This window comes from Homo sapiens, chromosome 8, assembly GCF_000001405.40.
Source record: "Homo sapiens chromosome 8, GRCh38.p14 Primary Assembly".
NCBI lineage: Eukaryota > Metazoa > Chordata > Mammalia > Primates > Hominidae > Homo > Homo sapiens.
Genome location: NC_000008.11, coordinates 20,953,030 through 20,969,535, shown reverse-complemented (window position 1 = coordinate 20,969,535; position 16,506 = coordinate 20,953,030). Strand labels below are relative to the sequence as shown.

Genomic DNA, 16,506 nt, shown 5'->3' with positions numbered 1-16,506 from the left:
GTTCTTAGAGCATGCTTGTGGAGCAACGAGGTCTGTAAATGCATCTACCACTCCTTCCCATCACACAGTCAGGATCACAGAAGGGACCATGTATCAGGAGTTAATGACAGTCGTCTCCAAAATGAACCTACAACCCACTCACTTGTAGATTACTTACGCTCTTGGTGACCTCAAAAGAATATTAGGGGAGTAAAGTGGTACAGTGTCTCTACAACATGAAGCTATTGGGTAATATTGCTACAGATTGAAAGTTTTCTCATGGTGTTTCTTTCAATCCAGTTCTTAAGATCTATGAGTAGCTAATATCAATTAATGTTTATTAAGAATTTATAATGGACTAGGCAGTGTGATAAATGCCTTCTGTGCATCATCCTCATTACATTGTCACAGTGACAATGACACGGAAGCACTACAGTATTTTCCCATTTTACAGATGAAGCTCCCGGGGCTTAGAGAGGTTAAATAACTTGCCTTCTCCCACCAGATCTTACATTCATGGAGCTTTCCCCTATCCAGAGGCACAGTGACCGAGATTGCCTTTTGAGTATCTTCAATGGCTGTACCTCTGTTCAAAGCAAGATTTATTGACGGAGCTAATCAATTAAGCAATCGTTATTTATTGAGTCCCTCGTGAGTTATTCAATATTTATTGAGCAGTCTCCATGTAGCTAGCTAGCACTTGTTCAATGAGCCATGGAGGATACAAGCGAGGTGTAGGATTCAGCCTTCATCTTCAGGGAGCTTGAAATCTAGCAGGGGATCGGAGGGGGGAGGTGGACAATATTAAATTACATGAAGAAATAAGTACTCACATTTTACATCGATCAGTGCAAATGACATATTATATTCAAAGAAAGAGAGGAGACAGAGCCTCTCTAGTATTAAATATAGTGTAAGATTCATGAAAACGGTGGGGCTTAGTATCCTTCAGAAGCAGGTAGCAGTAGGCTAGGAAAAGGGTGGAGAAGAAGGTATTTCAGATGGGAAAAAGCAGCATAGGCAAAAACACAGAATGCTCATGGGATGTTTCAGCACTTAGAGAGATCCCACTAAATGGAGGGTGCTAGCTAGAGAGTTGTTCTTACAGAAAACATTAAATACAAGAACCACAGGCTTGCTTCCTCAGCACCCAGCATGGTGCCTAACACCGAGTAAGCACTCCTTATGTGTTTGTTGAACTGAGCTCATAAAAAAAAATTAAAACAAATAAAGGACACAGTCAGTCCCTGACCTGTACCAGGAACTCAGCATCTCGTAGAATGGAAAACACATGTATGTATCTACTTATGGCACAAATGAAAAGTGCTAAGTGCTGTTGGTACTATGATAAAAAAATTTTTTCTCAGAGTAGGTAATATAATTCCCCCTCTTTGTAAAGCATCTAGAAGTGCTGATAAAATTCAGAAAAGTAACCACATTTTTTAATGCATGCACTGAATTGACAAGAGAACAAGAGAAATCCCTAGAAGTAAAAAATGAAGTGAAAACACAAATCTGAGAATTGGAAGGAGGACAGTTTGGTGAATTTGGATGAATTTAAGTACAATGATGCTCCCTCCCTAAAAAATTCCACTTGCCAGCAGAGGCAGCCCATTCTCCTCTACGCAAAACACCAGCTTATCCTTGCTTAAAGACCAGCTAAAGACCTCACCTACAGCAGTCATGAAGCTATGCTAAAGTCTTGGGCTTCTGCCAATCCCCAGTGATTGGAACCTCTATTTCCATAGTTGTACAGAGGCAAGAGGCGAAATCTGGATCCATGCAAGGGGCTGAGGGAGATGAGTTAGAGACCTCCACACAAAGCCAAGACATTGAGTGATCTCACCCCCAACGTAAGATGGGCTACACCCATGCTGTGTGGGGTGGCCTCTGATCTCCATCAGGCCTTGCTCTAATTGGTGGGCCACAGTACTGTCTGTCTGTGATCTTCGGGGATAAGTGTCAGCTCTCAGCGAATATTTAGTAATCTACCCCACCAAAGGCTGGTTAGTTCCCTTTCTTCCATGCACACAAGTCCTAATAAATGGCTATAGGTCTCTGTGGGTGAAGTTTAGGAAATCAAATATGCAGCATAAACTTGCATCAGGGTTGTAGAGTCCTTCCTTAGAGTCACCTAGTCTTTCCTTTAATCAAGAGTCTCTGGGTTGGTGAACTGCCTCAGTTCTTAGAATAAGGCGAAGGGCCACAACTTTTGGTGCCAAGATTTGGGTCATGGGTCTTAGAACTTTTTCAGTTCTTTATATCAAGTAAAACTTCACTTTCAGCCCTAGAGACTGAGTTAGTAACAAACTAATTTCATTGCTAAGCATTCCACAAATGAATTACGTTCTACCAAAGACTCCTTTGAAGTCTACCCATTATGATTACCATAAGTCAACCTTAGAGATGTTAAATAACTTGCCCTCTCTCATCAAAGAAGGTTATTTAATGTTTGTGAGCCCCAAGAGCTTCATCTGTAAAATGGGAAAATACTGTAGCGCTTCCCTCTGATTGTCACTGTGACAATGCAATGAGGAGGATGCACAGAAAGCATTTTTCAGAAGGCTTAGTGCATTATAAATGCTTAACAAATATTCATTGATATTAGCTGCTCATTAGGCCCTACTGCATTTTTTTCAGCAAAGGTGCCCACTGTGGTTTTGTTGGTTAAGGGCTGCCCCTCGGCTTCTGGCATCACTGGGTACCATCATCCCCATCAAAATTACAGAACCATCTATCATGACCCATCCTTCCTACAGAGAACAGGCATTATAGAGCTTTTCAAAGAGGCTGGCTTCCCCTTCACCAATCTATTTCCCAGTGTGTTTGTTTTGTTTTATTGTAGCTGTTTGGTTTTTATTTCTTTGTTTGCTTTTTGGTGAAGAAAGTGTCCCCTGAGTCCTCCAGGGAGATATTACAGTGAGGATGAGTGGGTCTCACATGCGACACATCCACTCCAATTTGCCCATGTCTTTTCAGAGGTTGGATTTCTTCCTCTATATTATGCCGAAGAAATGTGGCTTCATCATTTACTGTAATTCCACTGATTCCAAGTTGCAATCAACATTCCAAGCACACTGTTAGGGCACTTCTCAGCTGTTCTAGCTAACACACCAAATCTAGACTCTTCATTAAGTGCACTCATATCAATAAATTTGACTCAATTCTACACAGTGTTTCTTTTTCTCTGATCTGGCACTCCTGAAATCTATTGCCACACATACTCCTGTTTTTTCTTTATTTTATTTTTTATTGTTTGTTTGAATTTATTGTTTGAATTAGCTCGACCTTGTCATTCTTTCACTATGTAAAATAACAACCATTTTCCTGAGCCCTGTAGGCAATGGGGAGCGGTGAAGGTGGGTCTTAAAAGACATCAATATACTATGCAAGGTTACTGCTTCAGTGGGGGTTTTTAGCTGACCTTTAAGCAAGGATAGGCTGATGTTTCGGGTAGAGGACAATGGGCTGCTTCTGCTGGTAACTGGAATTTTTTAAGGAGGGAGCATCTTGGTACTTAAGTTCATCCAAATTGACCAAAATATCCACCTGCCAAAGCTCATGTCCCATTCTTCCTTAATCAGTGCCCTCACTTTTACATAAGAAACTTAGAACAGTCATAAATTCAATTTGTGTAGTAATTCTCAAACTACAAGATCAAATTTTGCAATGAATTTTTAGGTACCTTGGTTATATTGCTATGGTAGATGAGATAATATTTTAGTGCAATTATAGAAACATCTGGTTTCCTGACATTACCTTGAATGAGAATTTAAAGGACTGAGCTTGTCATTTTCTTTCTCTAAGCTTTTCGGGACAGTCATATGTATTCAGCCCACCCTACCATCCTTGAAGTTCTCATTTATTATGAAAGTCTATTAAGTAACCAAGAAGTTGGGTCTTCATAGCCTTGCCTTAAGTAGTAGTTCATTTCAAGAATTACAGGTGTTCATCAAGAGACCATAAAGAAATTCAAAAAGCAAGCCAGAACTGTGAGAAGATGTTTGCTACACAAACAGAAAGGGTTAGTATTCAGAATATATAAAGAACTTTTATGAATCTATAAGAAATCAGGACAAAGATATGACGAGGCATTTAACATAAAAACACTGGTACAGCCAAGACAATTATAATAAAGATACTTATTCACAATAGTTATTAGAGGAATGGAAATCAAAACATCTACCATTTAGTGCCATCAAAATCACACACAGAATTTCCTGAGTCTGACAATATCAAATATCAGCAAGGCAATGGAATTTTCATACACCAGAGGTGACAGTGTAAATTAGTCCAACTCCTTGGAAAATAATGTTTTCTGACAAAGCATAAAATGCAAATACTCTACCAGCCAGCAAATCCACTTCAGGAGAAACTCTTGAACATCTGCAAGTATGATTATAACAGAAATATTTATAATAGTAAATATTTGGGGGGAAAAATCTACCAACAGAAGAAGGTATAAATACAGTGTGGCAATGTATAATAAGTGCAAAAGAATTAACCAGAGCTCCCTCTATTAACATAGGTGACCAATGCAATATACTTGGGAGGGAAAAAGCTTGCAAAGCGTGATTCAATTTATAAGACATTCATAGATATGAAAATCCAACAATACATACTTTTAAAATAAATACCTATGGTGCTCATGATGAGCTTGGAGCATTGTGGACTATTTGCCTGACCTAGGCACTTGCACCCACGTGAACTTAAATAAACCTCCATTGTGTTGGTAACAACACCTGCAGCATAAATGCTATGATCCCTATTTTTGCAAATGAGAGACATTAATCATTCACCCAACAGTGTGCAGCAGGTGGTAGTGAGAACTAAAATCCAGATGGTCTGGGTCCAAGGTCCCAGTTTTTCCCACCTGACCACAGCCAACACGTGTGGCCACCTGGTAACCCACATCTCACTCATCTCTCCTCTTCTGACACGTAACATCTCAATGTCTCACTGACTTTTATGCTGTCTTTTACTCTCAAGCCCCTCATGCTGTCTGTCTCTTGTCTCCAAGCCCAGATCTTAAGGGGGTCTTTGGGGGTGGGACTGTGCCTTAAGTAATTGCTATATTTATTGTGGTGTTTAGTACTGGCCTAGACACCAAAGAAGTTCTTATCGATCAATCGATCAATTCATTGAGGGTGAGTTAGAAGAGTGGCTTATGGAAAATCCTCCAGGACTAGAAACGATTGGGCGGGACATTAAATTTCGGAATGAAGTTGGTCATGGGCTGGCGGCAAGCACATGTAGTGAAGGCAGCTGAGTTGCTTACATCGGAGAGCACAAAGATCCCTTTGATTATATAATAAAAGCTATGAACCACTTTCCCAAGAGCACACACATCTGCAAACACACAGACACAAAATTCTGTACACACATTAACCTCAGGATAAGGATCTTGGGATATAGCACTGGCCTGGAATTAGAGTCAAAGTGTCCGGTGATGTCAATCTGCTTTAGGGACCAACTCCATCCTAATGAGAGTGTCTTACCAGTGGCATTTGGGGAGAATTCTGCCTCAAACTCGCCTCTGGCAGTCCTGGATCTCCTTAGTCTCTGGTTATCTCACTTTCTCTTTGTATTAGTTTTTCATATTCACGTTTATCCCTAATCAGGCCTTCATGTATTCTCCCTACCTCACCAACTTTGGCCAGCTCTTCTCACTCTGGTTTCCTGGTCACAGCTTCTTGGACTTAGTGCGCTAACCTCTGTCACTCCCTGTAGGTGGACACTTGGCCAGGCTCAGCCTGAGATTCCAGATTCTCAGCTTCCTTCCCTGATTCGAGCCTAGCCCTGCTCCAATGAGACCTCCCTGGGTGTCCCAACATCAGCACTTTCTCAGTCTCTGATCATCTAAGTAATCTCTTTCATCACCCCGAGGCTCAGGTGCCTTGCCTGAGAATGAGGAAAATGACAAGTATCTCACAGCATTACTGAGAACACTAAATGTGAGCTCTGTGTGTGTGTTGTATGTGTGAAAGTGTGGGGCTCTGACAGAAAAAAAAAAAGAGTGCGACACATTTGCTGATTGAAGGCACTATTTTCTGTTTGTAGCTTCTGCTGAATAAAAGTGCCATAAAATTATTATTATTATTTCCATCATCATCAATAAGAAAACTGGCTGTTGGGTGCCAGAATTCTTTTCACCATACGACAATGGATACAGCTTTATTAGTAGAGGAAATGCCAGCTCTGAGCACGCCTTACCTGGGAGCAATGGAGGTGTCAAAGAGAAAGACTAAGGCCCATATGCATGGCTAGTTCACCTATAGGTGGCCCTTAAGCTGCTCCACACTGCATTTGGCAGGTGTGAGAATTCCAAAGCTTAGAAGGACCCAGGGGCTGGCAGTGCCCAGGAGGCCTCCCTCTACCAGATCTTGACAAAGGCAGGGGCTGTGCACTGGTCCTTGGTGGCCTATTTTTGGGATAATTGCCATGCTGCTTTTTTGGGTGACTTGCATCAAAGATACGGAGATGAAAGTAAGTAAAAAATGGGGAGCTTTGGGCTGGGTGTGGCAGCTAACACCTGTAATTCCAGCATTTTGGGAAGCTGAAGGAGGAGAATTGCTTGAGGCCAGGAGCTCAAGACTAGCCTGCGCAACATAGTGAGGCCTTGTGTTTACAAAAGAAAAAAAAATTAAAAAATTACCTGAGCATGATGGTTCATTCCTGTAATTCCGGCTACTCAGAAGGTGGAGGTGGGAGGACATCTGAGCCCAGGAGTTCATGCCAGTACCCTCCAGTCTAGGTGCCAGAGTGAGATCCGGTCACTAAAAAACATTTTTTAAAATGGTGAGTCTTGTATCACCTCTATACCCCAGGCTTCTCCACAGATACTCTAGCGGCTTCTACTTGAGTGCCTTAGCCATCAGCTCTGGTCCTGGCCTGACTCCACCCTGCCATTGCTGGCCTAATCACAGGCCCTCCTCCTCTTTCTGCAAAGGTCTTCTGCCTCCTGATCCTGAACACTTGTTCCACAGTCAACCCCTTCCCTGCTGGCTAACTCCTTCTTTTCCCTCATCCCCTGCCTGATTACTCCATATGTTACTCTCTAGGCAATAATCCTTTAGGCTATTGTTAGTAACAATTTAATTGTAGCTATCACTGATGAGTTAATATTAGCCATCATTTATAGAGCAAATGCTAGATGCCAAGTCATCTGCTGAGCGTCTTAGATGCATTATCTAAACCTTACATTCCTAAGAGTTGGATTCATTATTTATTAATTATACTTTAAGTTCTGGGGTACATATGCAGAATGTGCAGGTTTGTTACACAGGTACACACGTGCCATGGTAGTTTGCTGCACCCATCAACCTGTCACCTACATTAAGTATTTCTCCTAATGCTATCCCTCCCCTAGCCATCCCCCAACAGGCCCCACTGTGTGATGTTCCCCTCCCTGTGTCCATGTCTTCTCATTGTTCAACTCCCACTTATCAGTGAGAACATGTGGTGGTTGGTTTTCTGTTCTTGTGTTAGTTTGCTGAGAATGATGGTTTCTATGTCCATGTTCCTGCAAAGGACATGAACTCATCCTTTTTTATGGCTGCATAGTATTCCATGGTGTATATGTGCCACATTTTCTTTATCCAGTCTATCATTGATGGACATTTGGGTTGGTTCCAAATTTTTGCTATTGTGAATAGTGCCACAATAAACATACATGTGCATGTGTCTTTATAGTAGAATAATTTATAATCCTTTGGCCCAGTAATGGGATTGCTGGGTCAAATGGTATTTTGAGGAATTGCCATACTGTCTTCCACAATGGTTGAACTACTTTACACTCCCACCAACAGTGTAAAACCGTTCCTGTTTCTCCACATCCTCTCCAGCATCTGTTGTTTCCTGACTTAATGACTACCATTCTAGCTGGCAGGAGATGGTATCTCATTGTGGTTTTGATTTGCATTTCTCTAATGACTAGTGATAATGAGCATTTTTCAAATGTTTGTTGGCTGCATAAATATCTTCTTTTGAAAAGCATCTGTCCATATCCTTTGCCCACTTTTTGACGGGGGTTTTTTTTCTTGAAAATTTGTTTAAGTTCTTTGTAGATTTTAGATATTAGCCCTTTGTCAGATGGATAGATGGCAAAAATTTTCTCCCATTCTGTAGGTTGTCTGTTCACTCTGATGATAGTTTCTTTTGCTGTGCAGAAGCTCTTTAGTTTAATTAGATCCCATTTGTCAATTTTGGCTTTTGTTGCCATTGCTTTTGGTGTTTTAGACGTGAAGTCTTTGCCCATGCCTATGTCCTGAATGGTGTTGCCTAGGTTTTTTCCTAGGATTTTTATGATTTTAGTCCTTAACGTTTGAGTCTTTAATCCACCTTGAGTTGATTTTTGTATAAGGTGTAAGGAAAGGGTCCAGTTTCAGTTTTCTTCATATGACTAGTCAGTTTTACCTACATCATTTATTAAATAGAGAATCGTTTCCCCATTGCTTGTTTGTGTCAGGTTTGTCAAAGATCAGATGGTTGTAGATGTGTGGTGTCACTTCTGAGGCCTCTGTTCTGTTCCATTGGTCTATATATCTGTTTTGGCACCAGTACCATGCTGTTTTGGTTACTGTAGCCTTGTAGTATAGTTTGAAGTCAGGTAGCATGATGGCTCCAACTTTGTTCTTTTTGCTTAGGCTTGTCTTGGCTCTGCAGGCTCTTTTTTGGTTACATATGAACTTTAAAGTAGTTTTTTCCAATTCTGTGAAGAAAGTCAATGGTAGCGTAATGGGGATAGCATTGAATCTATAAATTACTTTGGGCAGTATGGCCATTTTCATGATATTGATTTTTCCTGTCCATGAGCATGGAATGTTTTTCCATTTGTTTGTGTCCTCTCTTGCTTCCTTGAACAGTGGTTTGTAGTTCTCCTTGAAGAGGTCCTTCACATCCCTTGTAAATTGGATTCCTAGGTATTTTATTCTCTTTGAAGCAATTGTGAATAGGAGTTCACTCATGGTTTGGCTGTTTGTCTGTTATTTGTGTATAGGAATGCTCGTGATTTCTGCACATCGATTTTGTACCCTAAGACTTTGCTAAAGTTGCTTATCAGCTTAAGGAGATTTTGGGCTGAGACAGTGGGGTTTTCTAAATATACTATCATGTCATCTGCAAACAGACACAATTTGACTTCCTCTCTTCCTATTTGAATACCCTTTATTTCTTTCTCTTGCCTGATTGCCCTGGCCAGAACTTCCAACACTATGTTGAATAGGAGTGGTAAGAGAGGGTATCCTTGTCTTGTGCCAGTTTTCAAAGGGAATGCTTCCAGTTTTTGCCCATTCAGTATGATATTGGCTGTGGATTTGTCATAAATAGCTCTTATTATTTTGAGATATGTTCCATTGATACCTAGTTTATTGAGAGTTTTTAGCATGAAGGGGTGTTGAATTTTGTCAAAGGCCTTTTCTGCATCTGTTGAGATAATCATGTGGTTTTTGTCTTTGGTTCTGTTTACATGGTGGATTACGTTTAGTGATTTCCATATGTTGAACCAGCCTTGCATCCCAGGTATAAAGCCAACTTGATCATCGTGGTGGATAAGCTTTTTGATGTGCTGCTGGATTTGGTTTTCCTGCATTATATTAAGGATTTTCACCATTCATGTTCATCAAGGATATTGGCCTGAAATTTTCTTTTTTTGTTGCTTCTCTGCCAGGTTTTGGTATCAGGATGATGCTGGCCTCATAAAATGACTTAGGGAGGATTCCCTCTTTTTCTATTGTTTGGAATAGTTTCAGAAGGAATGGTACCAGCTCCTCTTTGAACCTCTGCAAGAATTCAGCTGTGAATCCGTCTGGTCCTGGACTTTTTTTGATTGGTAGGCTATTAAATTACTGCCTCAATTTCAGAACTTGTTATTGGTCTATTCAGGGGTTTGACTTCTTCCTGGTTTAGTCTTGGGAGGGTGTATGTCCAGGAACTTATCCATTTCTTCTAGATTTTCTAGTTTATTTGCATAGAGGTGTTTATAGTATTCTCTGTTGGTAGTGTGTATTTCTGGGAGATCAATCAGTGGTGATATCCCCTATATCATTTTTTATTGCATCTATTTGATTCTTCTCTCTTGTCTTATTAGTCGGGCTAGCGGTCTATCTATCTATTTTGTTTATCTTTTCAAAACACCATCTCCTGGATGCATTGAGTTTTTGAAGGGTTTTTCATGTCTCTATGTCCTTCACTTCTGCGCTGATCTTAGTTATTTCTTGTCTTCTGCTGGCTTTTGAATTTGTTTGCTGTTGCTTCTCTAGTTCTTTTAATTTTGGTGTTAGGGTGTCAACTTTAGATCTTTCTTGCTTTCTCTTGTGGGCATTTAGTGCTATAAATTTCACTCTACACACTGCTTTAAATGTGTCCTAGAGATTCTGGTACGTTGTGTCTTCATTCTCATTGGTTTCAAAGAACATCTTTATTTCTGCCTTCATTTTGTTATTTACCCAGTAGTCACTCAGGAGCATGTTGTTCAGTTTCCATGTAGTTGTGTGGTTTTGAGTGAGTTTCTTAATCCTGAGTTCTAATTTGATTGCATTGTGGTTTGAAAGACTGTTTGTTATGATTTCTGTTCTTTCTTTTACATTTGCTGAGGAGTGCTTTACTTCCAACTATGTGGTCAATTTTGGAATAAGTAAGTGCTATGTGGTGCTGAGAATAATGTATATTCTGCTGATTTGGGGTGGACAGTTCTGTAGATGTCTATTAGGTCTTCTTGGTCCAGAGCTGAGTTCAAGTCCTGAATATCCTTGTTAATTTTCTCTCTTGTTGATCTATCTAATGTTGAAAGTGGGGTGTTAAAGTCTCCCATTATTATTGTGTGGGAGTCTAAGTCTCTTTGTAGGTCTCTAAGGACTTGCTTTATGATTCTGGGTACTGCTGTATTGGGTGCATATATATTTAGGATAGTTAGCTCTTCTTGTTGCATTGATCCCTTTACCATTATGTAATGGCCTTCTTTGTTGGTTTAAAGTCTGTTTTATCAGAGATTAGGATTTCAACTCCTGCTTTTTTTTTTTTGTGCTTTCCATTTGCTTGGTAAATATTCCTCCATCCCTTTATTTTGAGTCTATGTGTGTCTTTGCATGTGAGATGGGTCTCCTGAATACAGCACAGAGATGGGTCTTGACTCTTTATCCAATTTGCCAGTCTGTGTCTTTTCACTGGGGGCATTTAGCCCATTTACACTTAAGGTTAATATTGTTATGTGTGAATTTGATCCTGTCTATTTTGCCCATTAGTTGATGCAGTTTCTTCATAGTGTCGATGGTTTTTGCAGTGGCAAAACTGCACGTTGAGTGCTTCCTTCAGGAGTTCTTGTAAGGTGGGCCTGGTGGTGACAAAATCTCTCAGCATTTGCTTGTCTATAAAGGATTTTATTTCTCCTTCACTTCTGAAGCTTACTTTGGCTAGATACAAAATTCGGCGGTGGAAATTCTTTTCTTTAAGAATGTTAAATATTGGCCCTGACTGTCTTTTGGCTTGTAGGGTTTCTGCAGAGAGATCCACTGTTAGCCTGATGGGCTTCCCTTTGTGAGTAACCCAACCTTTCTCTCTGGCTGCCCTTAGCATTTTTTCTTTTATTTCAACCTTGGTGAATCTGACAATTATGTGTCTTGGAGTTGCTCTTCTCGAGGAGTATCTTTGTGGCATTCTCTGTATTTCCTGAATTTGAATGTTGGCCTGACCTGCTAGGTTGGGGAAGTTCTCCTGGATAATATCCTGCAGAGTGTTTTCCAACTTGGTTCCATTCTCCCCGTTCCTTTCAGGTACACCAATCAAATGTAGATTTGGTCTTTTCACAGTCCCATATTTCTTGGAGGCTTTATTAGTTCCTTTTTATTCTTTTTTCTCTAATCTTGTCTTCTCTCTTTATTTCATTAACTTGATCTTTAATCTCTGATATCCTTTCTTCCACTTGATTGATTTGGCTATTGATACTTAGTTGGCTATTGATACTTAGGTATGCTTCATGAAGTCCACGTGCTGTGTTTTTCAGCTACATCAGGCCATTTATGTTCTTCTCTAAACTGGTTATTCTAGTTAGCAATTTGTCTAACCTTTTCTCAAGGTTCTTAGCTTCCTTGCAGTGGGTTAGAACATGCTCCTTTAGCTCAGAGGAGTTTGTTATTACCCACCTTCTGAAGCCTACTTCTGTCAGTTTCTCCACCCAGTTTTATTCCCTTGCTGGCAAGGAGTTGTGATCCTTTGGCAGAGAAGAGGCATTCTGATTTTTGTAATTTTCAGCCTTCTCGCTCTGGTTTCTCCCCATCTTTGTGGATTTATGTTGGTGACCTTCAGATGGGGTCTTTCAGTGGACCTGCTATTCCTTTCTGTTTGTTAGTTTTCCTTCTAATAATCAGGCCCCTCTGCTGCAGGTCTGCTGGAGTTTCCTGGAGGTCCACTCCAGACCCCATTTGCCTGGGTATTACCAGCAGAAGCTGCAGAACAGCAAAGATTGCTGCCTGTTCTTTCCTTTGGAAGCTTCATCCTGGAGGGGCATCTGCCAGATGCCAGCCAGAGCTTTCCTGTATGACGTGTCTGTCAGCCCCTACTGGGAGGTGTCTTCCAGTCAAGGATACAGGGGCATCAGGTACCCAACTTCAGGATGCAGTCTGACCCTTAGCAGAGCTTGAACGCTGTGCTGGGAGGTCCGATGCTCTCTTCAGAGCCATCAGGCAGGGACATTTAAGTCTGCTGAAGCGTGCCCATGGCTGCCGCTTCCCCCAGGTTTTCTGTCCCAGGGAGAAGGGGGTTTTAATCTATAGGTTGACTGGGGCTGCTGCCTTCTTTTCAAAGATGCCCTAACCCAGAGAGGAGAAATCTGGCAGTCTGGCCACAGTAGCCTTGCTGAGCTGAGTGGGCTCCACCCAGTTTGAACTTCCAGGTGGCTTTGTTTACACTGGGGGGGGGGTAAAACCACCTTCTCAAGCCTCAGCAATGGCAGATGCCCCTCCCCAAGCTCGACTGTCCCAGGTTGATCTCAGGCTGCTGCTGTGCTGGCAGTGAGAATTTCAAGCCAGTGGATCTTAGTTTGCTGGCTCTGTGGGAGTAGGACCTGCCTAGCCAGACCACTTGGCTCCCTGGCTTCAGCACCCTTTCCAGGGGAGTGAATGGTTGTCATGCTGGTGTTCCAGGTGCCACTAGGGTATGAACAAAAAAACAGCTCTTGCAGCTAGTTCAGTGTCTGCCCAGATGGCTTCCCAGTTTTGTACTTGAAACCCAGGGTCCTGATGGGGTAGGCACCAGAGGGGGTCTCCTGGTCTGCGGGTTGTGAATGCCATGGGAAAAGCACAGTATCTGGGCCGGAGTGCACGGTTCCTCATGCTCAATGCCCCACCCTGTTTTGGTTTGCCCTCTGTGGGCTGCACCCAGTGTCTAACCAGTCCCAGTGAGATGAACTGGGTACCTCAGTTGGAAATGCAGAAATCACCTGCCTTCTGCATCAATCTTGCTGGGAGCTGCAGACTGGAGCTGTTCCTCTTAGGCCATCTTGCCAGCCGAGACCTTATCTTTCTTTTATAGATGCAATGTCTGAAGTAAATTGCAGCACCTGCACACCACATCAAGTTGGTTGACTTGAAAGTCTTTTCCTCTTACCAGTATTTCTCCACGTGAGAGAGATGTGCCCTCTTTTAAGGGAACAACATTTTGCGTGGATCCCCTTAAATAGTTTTAAGACATCTGAAAACATAAAACTAGATATTAATTTATTATACTTATGCCCTTAAATAGTTGTAGCACCTGAGTCTGTCAGGATAGGCAGTAATAACAAAAGTCCTCAAATCTTAGTGGCTGCAAACATGTATTGTTTCTTGGAATAGCAGGGAGCTCATCTGACCCAGCAGCCACCAATACTGCACCAGTCAAGTCCTGGCAAGAGACAAAGAGGACACCTAAACTAAAGACTTTGAGGAGAAGTTTATTATTTATTTGTACTACTTACCAGGCAAAGAGGGGGGTTAGGCAAAGTGGTAAGAAGTTATAGTTTAGTACCAGCAGGCTAGAAATGCCTAGCCACCCTTACCCTGAAGGGACAAGGTGGGGAAGCAGTTACCAGCACCTGGACAGTGACTGACTGACAGAGGGTTGCAGCCAACCCAAATGGACCTGGCACACGGAGCCAAGAGACTTATGCCTACTCTTTTGACCCCATTCGCCTCCTGCCCTGCAGTTTCCTGCCAGAACGCCCCATTGGCCAAATCCAACCGGAAGTTAGAATGGAAGGGAGACCATGGACCCATTTTCTCCAGACCTGCTTCCAGCGAAGGCACAGAGGAGTTGGGACGCACCTGGAGCAGCACACAGGGAGATACTTAGTGCAATCTCAAACGTTGCTAGAGGCAAAAGCGGTACTGGAGAGACTCACACTGCAGCTAAATGCTATGAAGTGTCACTTCGCACTCACAACTCACTGGCCAGAACTAATCATGTGTTCTGCACAACAGAAGGGGGCCCCACCGTGGCATTTTACCACATGTCCAGAAAGAGAAGAGCAGGCTGTCTGTGGCAGCCACAAACCCAAAACAAATTTAAAGATTAAATACAAAGAAGATGACAGAATCCAAACAATTCAAATTAACAAAATTAACTCAATATTACAGTCGGTATTGCTTTGCTAAAACTCAGTCAACCACCCAGGACATGAGCACATCCAACAGGTCCTCTGAGTTTGGCTTGCCTCTGCTTCCACCTGCCTTGTGAAAGTTCAATTCTCCCACGAACACACCAGCATCTATGAAGTCATTTGGTTTTCACTTGGCAGAAGTGTGCCATTTACATTGCAATTTCCCCTCTGTTCTTTTCTATCTAGGCTGCGTCAATGATTGTAGTGCTAATTGTTACAGACATGACCACAATGCCAAGGCGAATGGGGACAATGAAATCCATGGCTGGTTTTAAGGTAGTTATCTATATGGTCGGGAAAAATGCTTATATTAATTTTTTTGGATTGCTATTGAATCGAAAACAAAGTTAAGCAATTCTCCTGGAGAAGCCAGAGATCCCTTAGAAACAGCTTCTACTAGTCCTTTCTTTTTCCTCCTTCTCACCCCAGCACAGGAAAGGCGGAGGTGCTAATACCCTAGTCCCCCTGGCAGGTGTATCTCTTGGTCCTTCCACCCTTATTCCTCTGCTCTCTCACCTTCTCCTCTTTGCACTGCATCAGTGCCCTCCTTAACTCAAGAGCCCTGGCTTTTCTGTATCCTGAGCTGCTTCCTGACTCAGGCTGATCCAGAAGGTTCTGTCTCCATCCTTGCCCATCAGCCCTGATGCCTGGGATACTCTCTTCATTCTTTCCAACCCCAACTATATTAAGTAATCCCTGAGTCACACATCTGAACATGTTTCTGCCATATAACGACAAGCTGAGGTTTCCTGAGAACATTTTCTTACTCACTACAACTCTCTACTGATATCACCCTCTCACATCTGCATGACCAGAGCAGTCCAGGTCTCCAAGCCCTGTATAGTACATACCTACCTTAGAGGCCTCTGGATCGGCTTCAAATGATCTCTTCACATTCCAAAATTGAATGCAACATTTTATGTGTAGGTATTCTAGTACATCTTGTTTGTGGGAGGAGAGGTTGTCCAGAATTTCATCAGATTCTCAAAGAGGTCTGGGACCTAATGAATGCTGATGTCTTCTGTTTTACACTGTTCATTTAAAACTTCATGATACTCATTTCCATTTTACAGAAAACTTCTCTATACTTCTGTTAAAACAAAATAATGTAAGATCCTCCATTTATATATGTAAAATATATATATATATATATATATAGTAGAATGCAGACACACTATATCAAATACTGTCTGTGGTCTACATATAGCCAAGTGTCCCTTGTCCTTCCTGTAAGAACCTGATTTTGAACGGGTTTTCATTCTCCAGTGCATCAGATACTTTGGCTTCCTTCTTCTTCCAGTGGTTAATCATGATTCAGCTAAGCTATATGAGTATTCTATTGTTGCACAACAAATTACCACCAACTTAGTAGCTTAAAATAACACATGTGTGATGTCACAATTTCTGTCAGTCAGGAGTCTAGCCATGGCTTACCTGGGCCCTCTTCTCTGGGTTCCACAAGGCTGGACTCAAGAGTCAGCCTGCCTGTGTTCTCATCTGGGAGTCTGGAGAAGAATCAGCTTCCAACCTTACTCAGGTTGTTGGAAGAATTTATTTTCTTAGGTTGTGGAATATAGGGCTTTTATTCCTTGCTGGCTGTTGGCTTGAGGCTGCCCACTTAAAGAAAACCTTTCCACCTGGCTTAATTCATCAAGCCAGCAAGCAAAAAATCCTAGGGAGACAGAGCCTTATATAAAGTGACGTAATAAAATCACAAACGTGACATTCTAACAAAACATACTCAAGGATGTGACTCACACACCTTTGCCACCTTCCATTGGTTAGAAAAAGTCTCCTATCTCACACTCAGGGCAGGAGGGATTATACAAAGGCGCGGATAGTGCGGATACCAGAAGACAGGCAATATTGGGGGGCCACCTTAGGGTTTGTGCACAACATAA

General features: G+C 41.9%; 2 long non-coding RNA genes across 3 annotated transcripts in view; one reads left to right on the top strand and one right to left on the bottom strand.

Moving 5' to 3' along the window:
• Positions 1-16,506, top strand: part of LOC105379316 (uncharacterized) — a 36,228-nt gene that overhangs the window by 19,337 nt on the left and 385 nt on the right. The window contains exon 3 of the long non-coding RNA XR_007060845.1: positions 14,792-14,881. This is a non-coding gene — a long non-coding RNA (uncharacterized LOC105379316). The remainder of the gene's footprint in view (positions 1-14,791; positions 14,882-16,506) is intronic.
• LINC03023 (long intergenic non-protein coding RNA 3023) lies at positions 598-15,903 on the bottom strand. Of its 2 annotated transcripts, none has more exons than NR_130774.1 (5): positions 15,843-15,903; positions 15,461-15,695; positions 13,702-13,851; positions 6,635-6,755; positions 598-749 (listed from the first exon to the last, which is right to left on the bottom strand). It is a non-coding gene; the product is annotated as a long intergenic non-protein coding RNA 3023 (long non-coding RNA). The 2 variants fall into 2 exon arrangements; NR_130773.1 differs by lacking the exon at positions 13,702-13,851 and adding an exon at positions 13,416-13,662.